At 36.4% G+C, this 11,979-nt stretch overlaps 1 annotated feature.

The window, feature by feature from the left end:
- Positions 3,317–3,874: an enhancer, noted in NCBI's record as "NANOG hESC enhancer chr1:63347799-63348356 (GRCh37/hg19 assembly coordinates)". NCBI's record gives its function as "activates a minimal SCP1, AML or CMV promoter by ChIP-STARR-seq in naive H9 embryonic stem cells {active_cell/tissue: H9 hESC(naive)}" and the evidence as "EXISTENCE:reporter gene assay evidence [ECO:0000049][PMID:30033119]".

The following is an 11,979-nucleotide window of genomic DNA, read 5'->3' as shown; positions in this document are numbered from 1 at the left end:
AATCTTCCAAGACAGAAAAAAGGGCATTGATTGACTTTAAAATTCCATTTTTGTGGAGATTTTCTGGATGAATATTTAACAACATGTGACTAGTCTAATTAGCTCAAATGGTTAGATCACAGTGACTGACACCAGGGGTACAAATGCATTCCTTAACATGGACCAGTCAGGTTTACAGAAAAAGTCTGTCTTGTGGACACAGAATACATTTTTTTCAAAGCACAAGACTTCTTCCAAATAGTGAGCCACACAACTTGTATTATTCAATTCTCCCTTCATTCCAGGTCATATCCAAGGCTTGCCTCAATGTCATCGTCTATGATAAATGATGACTAGGAACAGATAGAAATGTGAATTCAGACGTTAGAGATGCTATGTAGTCACAGAAGAAAGAAGTGTTAGTGAAAGATTTGTTTAGGATTTGGCTATCTTACAATACCATCACCCCAAATACTCAGAAATTATGTTTTAATCCCTGAAAATCGATCTTCATTGCTGCCTCAGGCTCTTTTCAACCCCTAGCCAAGTCAGGTCCTATTAAGCTCATACCCACATTCTCTTCCTCCTCCTCCTCTATGGAGATGCACCACATTGCCATCTCACCCTACCAAAATAATTCTTGCTAGGTAATACTCCTCACTGTCCCACCAGGCCAAGGATCTGATTGTCAGAAGACAAACAAAACCATCACTGAAAAATGTATGTACACTCAGTTTTTCCACTTTTTTTTTAACAGCATGGTAGAGGTGGAAGGGAACAGAAAACAAAAAGCATGGTCCTACTGATACAGCAACAACTTAATTTTTCCAGACAGATCCAAGGCTGGTTCCTATAAACTGGAAAGAAAATTTGACCAACAAAAGAAGGAGTCTAATCAGAAGATTATGAACATAATAAGAAACTAAGTTTCCCACTCACTGGTAGAAAGGTTTATTACAGCTTACGGGACATTTCAAAATGATTTCTTCTAAGTATCTTGCCTCCTTTTAAAAATCATGCATAGTCCTTGAATATGATGAGCAAACCAGCTGGGTGATGTTAAGTCTCTGTCCATGCCTGGCAGGTAATACAATGCACATAGCCATATCCACAACTGCAAAGGTTGATTCCCCACAAACCTCCCCAGCAGTATATGGATAAAAATGTGAATTTTTTTTCAGCACAGAAGCTTATACATAATCCTATTACTATCCTAGGCACCTATTAAATATGATTGAAACAACGCCCATTGGAAGTCTTAAAACCTTAACCACCAGTTTTACTTCTAAAATAAAGTAAACTGCCAAAAGTTCTGATAAAAGTGACAATTTATATTTTTAAGTAGTACAACTGGAATTTTCCTATAGCTGTAGACAAAGGAATTCTTACCCAGATAAGCAGAAGAGCACCAATAAATTTAAGGTAGCTTATGCAAGTTAGGCACTAATGAATGTCATCTTCTGTTTTGTCATGAAAAAAGATCTTTCTGCTGCTAAAGGAGACTGATTTAGATTATGAATAGCTGTAGTGATTTGCAAAAATGGCTCCAGAGAGATAGAATGAGACTCCATATACTCATGGCACTTGAGGTTTCTGCCCTTTTTGTTGAAAATTAATTTGTCCTGTGGGTTATTGGATTCTAGCTCAGCCAATGTATATTGCTCAGTCATCACAAATTTACTTAAAATTTAGTGTAGCTGAAGTTCATTCAACAAGACAAAAGTCTACAGTTGAAAGCTTCTAAAAATCTTTTTTAAAAACTGGCTAACTGTAATTGAAAGTGCTGGCATCTAAGTAGATTCACATAATGTTTTGCAGGTATCAATATATACTATATTACTATGTTAGAAATAGATTTTTCACTTGTTTTCCAAGAAAAAGCAGCTAGGGAAGATTTATCATCCTTTGGTAAGAAGACATTTTGGTTGAAGCTTCCACATTCTGAAAACACTTAAATCCCTAAATTCAGATTGGATTCTGTAATACATACCACATACTGCATTCATTCACATATACTGTAATATCACAACAAATATTTTAAAAGCAAATAAGTTATATAATTCCTGATGCTTCCAAATCCTAAATACATCACACTAAAAACAAATTAAAAGTACATATATTGTCTCCCTGTTTCATCAACTCTTACAGCAGGCAACTCACTTCCTACTTAGGATGCTACAGCATGGAGGCTTATAGATGGGAGGGCCAGAGTAAAAAGAGCCACGCTTCAGACAGAACATCAGGATACAAATCATTTGCTTTTTGACAAAAGGAACACCAGTTTAGTGACCATGCTCCTTTACCCAACAATAATGAGAGAAGAGTATACTTCCAAAGAAGCTATTGTGCAAAGATACAAAGGTGACATTAAAAAAAAAATGTACAGCTAATTGTGGGAAACAGAGCAGTTTTTAATTAATTTTTCCCTTAAAGTGATTTTCCTTAATAGATATTTCTCATGTTTATGCATTGAAATATGTATATTTAATACATAAAACCGATTTAAATATGTGTTTGATAGTCTTTTTCCCTTTGAAAATCTCGATGAATCTATAAACTTATGTAAGCTAAAATCATACCAGAGAACCTCAACTGTGATTAAGTCCATTGGGGTGGCTCCTAATTAAGTTAATGATACACAAGAGACAACTAACATTATTTGTTCATTTCATTTATAGATGAAAGATTACTAGATAATAAGACTGTTTTCTATAGAAATATTATATTACAGAGTAATTAGGAGCTAAATCTAGATGGTAAAAGCATTAGGATGTGTCATTTCATTAAGAAAAGAAAGTACATACTATTGGGGGCAACCCAAACCATAGTTGTGGATTGTTTTTTGGATAGCAGCTTTTGCTTTATTTCTTGAACCTAGACCAAAACTGAACTACACAACTGATAAAGTTCAAACTCTGAAGAGATCAGATCTTTGCTTGGGGTACAATTGCACAAAATGAGATACAGAGTGCTAACCAAATCACGACACAATGGACTGGAAATTTTAGATTAATAAACATCTTCCAATGGAGTACTAAATAACTTTTACAGTTTTATCTATGGTTATTTGTTTCTCTGAAGATTTATGGTCCTCGCAACAGATATGCATCTTATCTTTCACTTTCCAGATTAAAGAGTGATGATTTTAAACAGGCTTCTGACTGGCATAATCTAGAATTGCAGATGATCTCAATTTTTTAAAAAATGCAAAAAGTGAACTTGCAAGTCAAATGAAAATGACTTTGCGCATGTCGGATGCAGAAGGGAAAAAATCTGCATACAGCTAAACGAGTCTGATCTTCTCTTACCAATCCTGATCCCCTCGTCCTGTCCTGTATCAGCCAGGTGCAATCTGTACATGCTTATCCAGGAATTAAAATTCTTCATGCTGCTGCTGCCTTAATTGATTGATGCTAAAAGTTTAGAAAATATAACCTAACCAGCTATTACAAAGCGCCTTTAACCAAGCCTTCTCCTTTGAAAGCAGGATCCTCAATTGAAACTGGCAGACTGCATTTTTAGGTTTCAAGCAGCTCTGTCATTCTACAAGGAATGTGTCTGCCACTTCACACGATAGCTTGAGCTGAAAGACATGAACTTTGAATCAGAGAATCAATAGAACACTTAATGGACAATTAGGAGAACAGCTGTAGGACTGTCAGAGACCCATCTGTACACAGCTCAAACAGCAAGCCTGGACAGGGCCCGGGAAACAAAGTACACTGCTCCAGGGCACTGGCCCCAGTACAAAACCTCCCTTTCAGCTCTCATTTAATGTTAATATAGTGTTCTTTTTCATTACAAATTTTAACACGTGTAGAAAATTATGGAAATTGCTTAAGCCATTTGTCAACTTATATCATGTGAATTGATCAATAAATTTCACTACTTTGTTGTTAATGTAGATAAATTTTGGCATTTAATTAAGCTCCAGTGAAAATGTGGCCACTTTTAATTTCAGCAGATGCTGTCGTTTCATTTGTAATACATAACTACAGGGGTAAATACAACCCAATCATGAATTATCACTAAATATTTATAGACAACATAGCAATTCAGAAAATAGACACAAAAGATTTTCACAATGAAACAATTACGGTGTGCAAAAGCTGAAATAGGTCGTGATGAACTCTAATAGGAGTCGTGAGCAGAATCTTAATATTGTAGCTTCACAAAAGAATTACATATGTATATTTTTCCTCTCATGATCCTGTCTCTGTAGATTGTCTCTAGTCAGCAGAAATAATTTCAAATTATTTCCACAGAATTGTTCCAAAGGTTAAAAGACAGTTCCCTAAGTATGTAGAGGTATATTAAAATTTATAAATTAAAATAAAAATGTATCCTCTCATATTTGTATTTACTAAGTTTATTTGGACACAATGGAGAGGCTTCTCTTAATGAATAGAAGGAAAATCTTATGAAAGCTTATGTTGCACCCATGATTTGGATTTGGGCTATAAGGTTGGTCAAAAGAGGACACTGGCATGGGAATGGAAACAAGATGCCAGACAATGGAAAAAGCAGAATGAACTTTTGAGGCTTCCTCCATATGGCCTGAGGGGCCCCTAGATGAAATCCTGGTTCTGACAGCCAGAAGCCGTATAGCCTTAACCCTCTGTGACGTAGTTTGACATGATAAACTGCTATATATCATTTGAGGGGGAATAGGCTGCCTCTTGGTGATTCTGCTGGTGCCTTCAGGGAAAAGGGGATTCGAAATCATATTGCTGTCTTTACAGTGTAATCCTCTCCATAACACCCATACCCACCATTGTCTAAATGCTTCAGTAAGTGGGCCTAGCTAGTTCCGTAATGACTACATTTGCAGCAGAAAAGCAGACATGGGTGCCTGTGTATAGATCCTGCATAATTATATAAAAAATAAAGTTATGCAGAAGCAAAGCTGATCCCCTCATTGCTATTTTTACAATATTTCCATGTCAAATTGACCATCATGGCTGAGGCAGTTTGGCACTTTCTGTTGTTCTGGCAGAGGGGTACCTGGTCAGAGAAGATGATTCACTAAATTCAGACTCTATTAGAGAAATTAGAACTAAGCAGCCAAAGGGAAAATGGATAGGGTCTTCTTGCTGGACCAAATTATTCATCTAAATTTCCGGCCAAAATTCTCTCTCTGGCTCACTCTCACATGTTCATACTTCTTTTTATTCCAGAATTTAAATTTCCTAGGACTTGAGGCTGTTTTTACACCCTTAAGAAGTAGAAAGCGCTAGAAAATCTACCTCAGCTCCAAGACAGATAATTAGAAATCTTCTTGTCATCTCTGAAATTGAGGATTTCATGAAGGCATAATATTACTGTTTTCCGAAGTCATGTATGTCTGTGAATTTCTTTGTTTTGGGGGGAACTGAGGAAAGAAATGGGTTATTGCTTGGACTAAGGGAAATACTGGCATTTGTTAAATATTTGATGTGGGATATTTAAATGTTAAGAAAGTTCAGATATATGATTGGTTGATAAATGAAAGCTGAGATCCTAAAAATTTGGGATGGTGGTAAAGATGGCCAAAAAAATTATTTACCATTTCTCCCATCAACAAATGGAATCTATTTCCCCTACCCCTGACTCTGAACTGGGTTTGTTTTGCTCAGGAGAATGTAGCAGAAGTGCCACTGTGCCAGATCCCAGCCCAAGTCTTAACAAGTCCTGGAAGCTATTGCATTTGTGTTTTTCAGAGCCAGCTGTCATGCTGTAGAAAAATTTGGGTTAGACTGTCAAATGATGAGAGGTCACTTGGAGAGTAGTCTTGAAAGATGAGAGACCATCCTGGATGTTTAAACTCCAGGTGAACTCTCAGTTGAAAGCAACTGGATGAGTAACTGCAGCTTCACCATGTGGAGCAGAAGAACCTCACGGCTGAGCACAATCAACCACAAAATCATTAAGAATAACATGTCCTTATTAGGTTAAGACAATAATTTATTACACAGCAATAGATAACTGAAATAGAGATTTCATAATAAAAATTTCCATTCCTTTTCTTTTCAGATCCTACCCTCCTTTTCAAGTTACAACTGGCAATCACCTAGTTTCCTATGCTTCTTGGAGAAGTGACCCAATAACAATAAAACAAAAAGCCAAGATATAAGTTGAAGGCAGGGGTAGAAATATTGTTGAAAAGATGCTCAGACTGATTCCCACTGCTATTAATTTACAATTTTCTTTTTAACTTCACTCAGTATTCCAAATCTACGTCAATGCTCTAATTGGACAACAAAGGAAAGTCAGTTTCTGTAATAAGAATTCCATCCCTTTTCAGGACTGTAGTCTGGAAATCAACGGAACCCAGTTTACTTAAATATGATTTGATTTTTAAAAAGATGTCAGTAGATGTTCTGCTATTTATATTAAAGTTGCCAAACATAAACTCTTTGAGATAAATTTTCTCTCAGCTAAAATAAGCTAGATTCTAAAACACCTCTGTCATAGGTAGCTGTGTAACTTGGGCAAGTAATTTTATCTTTTTGGGACTCATCTATAAAAAGCCAATGGACTAGATAATCTTTAAAATTCCTTAAAACTCTGCCATCTTTCAAAGACAGGTCATTTTTTGAGGTGATCCCAACTCTCTCTTAATCCCTTATTGTGACCACCTTAGTGCCAACTGAAAAAATCCATTTCTATTGCCCAAGGCAGGAATGAATATATCCTTCATCTAATATTCTGTCCCTGAATAACTGAGATGGTTGTATAATTAACTTTCTCTCAGAAAACATAATCCTAACTTTTTTTTTACTCCATCATTTTATAAGAACAAAGAAGTATGACAATTTGTCTTTACCATGTAGGTCTCTAAATAGATACCCATTCTTCACAAAGTTCATAAGAAGTCAGTACATGTTTTGCTTGTGGAAAAGACCTGAGAAGAACTGAAAGGGAGCATTAACCTGGAAGGTAAAAGCTTCAAAACTTATTGGTTCTTAAGTATGTCTGGCATTGAAAATGCTGACATTAAAAATACATTGTATTTCAGGGAGGTCTTCAGTGAAAACCTGTATATATTCTCCTGTACATTTTCACCTGTGATATCTCAGAAAGGAGCAATATGGTTGCTCCTTTAATTAATTAATTCCACAAACAAATCCAAAATTTAGTAGTTTCAACCACTTATGGAATCAGATCTAGGGTTGAATCCTGAATGTATCATTTATAACCTAGATATCTTTGGGCAATTTTCTTAATCTAAGTCTCAAGTTTCTTCTCTATAAAGCACAGATTTGTTCCTGGTATGAAAATGAGATAATGCATATAAAGTGCCTAGAATAGTAAGTGCTCCATCTTCTTCCCATAGCCTTGTTACATTGATTATCAAGTAAAAATCATTTGGTTTGAGCTTCATACCTTTCAACTTTCTCTGCTCACTGCTAACAAGGAATGAACCATCCAAAAGACAAAAAGTCAGGTATAACTATTACATAGGTAACTGATCCCTGGTAAATTATAAGTTATGAGCATGAATTAAAGACAACCATGGCTTGCATGGAATAGGAGAATCCTTGACCATAAAACTGGCACCTTTGGAAGTTGTGTTAACTTGTTAAGGACACTACTTTGGTGACCTGCTTCATGAAAATTTTCTGACAGAAAAAAAAGGAAACAGATTTTAGGAGATCCCTGTGGAGTAGTTGTAATTCAGTCTAGCATAAGAATAAAACAGAAAGAGGTTCTAGACAATTTGCCCCAGATCAGTCCAGTGAGCAAATCAAAATTATAATTCACATTGTTTAATTTCCCTATTCATTAGTCAATTGTTGACTGTGCTTATTTGCCTCCTATATTAAGAAAGAGTTTGATTAGTGGCAAGAAAACATTAGAGAACAAGGTATATAACTTGTGCTCTCAATCTTCCTTCAGGGATTCCAGGCTGAATTTGCAATACACCAGAAGACAAAATCTTATTAGATCAATGATCAAAGCCTGCCCAAGTGTCCTAAGCAGCTAACCTATTGCTGCCCCAGATGAAGACTCAATTCTGGTTCACGTTCATCTGAACATACTCTTAGTGTGGAAAACATTGCTTGAGGATGAGATTGTTCTATCCCCAAACTGTACCAAACCTATGCCTAATCAATCACCTCCTGTGAAACAAGTCACTTCATTGGATCGCTACATATGCACACACAAAACCAAACCAAAAGATTCAATTCCAAAACAAAACTACTGTGGACCAATCTTGCTATAATTAGAGAGTTAAGAGAGCCATTAGGTTGGTGCAAAAGTAATTGCGGTTTTTGCCATTGAAAGTAGTAGTAAAGCTAAAGCCAACAAAGACACAAGTATGTATGATAAAGGCTTAAAAGCAGAAAAGAGAGCTGGGGAAATCTGCCAGAGAGGAAGCCAAACCATAAATACAGAAACTGGTATTGATTACATTTAGTAGGTACCTGGTAATACATGGTATATGACATAAATTCATATCAAAACCACACTACTTTTCTCTCTCTCCACTCCCATTCTTGTGGGAAGATAGCAGGCAATAGGAAGTGAGAGGAGAACATTTATAAAAAGTGTTACCCTTGACATAACTTAGGCTGAAACAGGTATCTCGATCCTTGTGCCGAGTCGGATATACCAAGTTAGATAAGAGCTCTCAGTAATTCTAAATCTTTATCTTCATATCAGTTAGAGACAGGGTCTCACTCTGTCACCCAGGCTGGAATGCAGTGGTGTGATCGTAGCTCATTACATTCTCAGACTCTTGGGCTCAAGCAATCCTCCTGCCTCAGCTTTCCAAGTATCTGGGATTATAGGCATATGCCACCACACCTAGCTTTACTTGCACTTTTGATGAGATTTTAAGATTCTAAGAGATGGTCTACCTAATGTAAGCAATGATAATAACTTTGGTGTTTCTTTGCTTTATGTGCTAATATTAAGAAAATATTTTTTATTTTGTGGAAGTCAAGTTAACCACAACCAAGGTCTGTTTGTGGCTGAGGGAGAAGCTAACTTGAATAAGAGATGTGCCTTTGGTTTAATTTCCAGAGCATACCAAATAACTTTAATGGATCACAGAGAGCTGGGTGCTGGTTCTTGAGAAGCTGATGTGTACATGTGCATAAAGTATATATTAGAAGTATATTAATACAATTCTATCTCAACAGATTTAATTCTTAAATGCTACATATACTTGTTTAATCTCCCATTTTAAAAGTAGAAAAGGTTAGATTATAACATCAGGTTAGCTCTCTTTGAAGCAGGTAATAATTAAGTTGATTCACTGTTGCAATTACTGTCAAATCCCCCTTAATTACCAGAGATTTTATAGCAGCTTCATTATACGTCTGCTGTAATGCATTGTGGCCCTAAGGAGAAGTGTTGCAGGAAATTCTGCATAGCATGGATAATTCTAACCTGCAGTTACAGCTTCTAGCGAAAGCTCCTGCACTGAATTTATCTTTTTTTTGACATTTCTCCCTGTTACTCAAGCAGTTAAACCGAAGTAACATTACTAAAATACCTATCTAACTTTGAAAGTTAGAATTGATTTCTCCATAGATATTAAAAACAAAAAGAATGAAGAAAGGATAAATTAGCCTTCAATTATTGCTGAAAAAGCATTAAATTATGTTTAATAATGAATTTAGATTAGGACATTCTAATACATATGAGATCTACATATCCAAATCACAAATATATCTTAGATTTCTACTGCTTGTGGATATTTCTTAGATGACAAGCAAGACAAAAATGATTACTGAATCCCCAAAAGATAATCTTGAAGAGGATAACCAACTCCTTTTTATTTATCAATGATTTTCCAACTTATTTCTGGGAAAAATAATCATTTTTAAAAAGGTCATTTTTAAGTTTCCCTATCACTGCTTGTTTTCACTGGAAAAATCTTTACAAATCAGAGCCTGTAAATTAAATGAAGTTCAAAACAGATAACTGAATGTCTCTCACAGATCCCTTTTTAACCAAGGAATTTACTCCACAGAATATATTAGATTCAGAAAGGGCCGCAATGTCAATGACACTATTGGCAGCTGTGTTAACAGTTAAGGGCCTGGCTTTGTACAGCAATACAGTTATTAAATTTCTCCGGAGACCATGACTCATTAATCAAATATTCATACATCTCTGTAAATACACACTGAACAGAGAATACCCTCAGAGCCGAGCATCCCAATACAAGTGCTCTTTCATGTAACACTGACAAAATCCTGAGAACATGTGGTCATGTTTTGCATTTCTAATGCACTATGTACTCTTTAATACTCCATTTCCTAAAATCAGAACACAAATGATCTTACTGATGGCAAGTGTTAGATGGTTACAATTAAAATTATTCCACTATTGCTTCATACCATCTTTTTTTAAAATGAGGACAGTGAACCAATTCTTCTATTCTTTGTTTACCATCAAACAAGTAATTTTTTCCCAGACGGATGAAGAAACCCAGGGCCATGCTCCTATTAATACAAGAATTTGTATTAGCATGAAAACAACAAATCACTACTTAAACTAGAGAGGCCAAATAACTTAACATATTAGCAGACATGAACTTGCTATATTTTGCAAAGTCCTCAGTCTGTTTTATACCACTGGGAGTTTTCCCCCTATTGTACAGTAACAAAAGGTCTTTCTCAATTGCAGTCTCTAGAAAATTGGGGTCTGAAGGCCAGGCAAAGGAGAGAAGGCTCAAAATGTCACCTCATAAGGCTACTACTAAGAGCAGTTTCCCCACCTCAGGGTGGGCAGGAGTACTATGCCAAGGGAAGAGAGAAAAGGAGCATCTTACATAAATTTACCATCTGTGTAACAGTTTCTGAAACAATGGGGACTTGATTCTCAATGCCACTAAAATATAAGCAAATTTTCGTCAAATGCCACCTCATCTCCTCACCCCCTCCGGCCTACCACCCAGACTGCCTGTGTCTTTAACCCGTTTTCCAAAATTCTTTCCAAAACCAGGTCAAAGACTTCCCTTCCACAGTCTCCCTGCTTTCATCCCCATCCAGCTCGGTCCTCACATGCCATTTTCTCTAGCCTCTTCCTCTTGGTCTTTTGGAACATCTAATTCAATATGATGTAGGAAAAACTAGAGCAGGCTTTGGAATCAGGAGAGGTTTAAATCTCAGATCTGCAGATTGCCAACTGCGATAATTTGGCAAATTAACATATCAGACCCTCAATTTCTTCATCTGTAAAATGGCAAGGATAAAAATATCTACTTCCCAGGATTTTTGCAAAGATTAAATAATATGTATTTTATATTTAGTAAGCACCCAATGTCAGTTGTTGCCATTGGCAATCATTAATCCTCTATCTCTTAACATTAACTCAAACTTTCATTTTCCTGGCAGTACTAATTCTCTCCTAAACTTAACCAGCAAGGACACTCCTCCTTCCATTTAAATCCCTCTGATTCAGGTAGCTTTGCATTCCCACTTCCAGATGACTCTGTTATCACTTCACACTCTCTTCTGCAGATGCTTACACCATCTATTTCACTCAACATGCTCCAACTCCAAATTTCGGCCTGAAATTGTTTTTCCAATCATTCTCACAAGATTCTACCATTCTATTTCCCAAACTTCATCACTTTACATCATTTGGAAGTCTGGTAAAGCCTAGTGTCTCCTTCTCAGAAAAATGTTTTAAAATGTAAATTAAAATGCACATGAATAAAAATTTTAAAATTTTACTATAAATTATAATTTACTATAAATTATACTTTTTTTTTTTTTTTTTTTTTTTTTTGAGACGGAGTCTCGCTCTGTCGCCCAGGCTGGAGTGCAGTGGCGCGATCTCGGCTCACTGCAAGCTCCGCCTCCCGGGTTCATGCCATTCTCCTGCCTCAGCCTCCCAAGTAGCTGGGACTACAGGCGCCCGCCAACACGCCCGGCTAATTTTTTGTATTTTTAGTAGAAACGGGGTTTCACCGTGTTAGCCAAGATGGTCTCGATCTCCTGACCTCGTGATCCGCCCGTCTCGGCCTCCCAAAGTGCTAGGATTACAGGCACGAGCCAC

The sequence above is a fragment of the Homo sapiens genome, chromosome 1, assembly GCF_000001405.40.
Source record: "Homo sapiens chromosome 1, GRCh38.p14 Primary Assembly".
Taxonomy (NCBI): Eukaryota; Metazoa; Chordata; class Mammalia; order Primates; family Hominidae; genus Homo; species Homo sapiens.
This window is presented reverse-complemented; position numbering and strand designations above follow the sequence as displayed.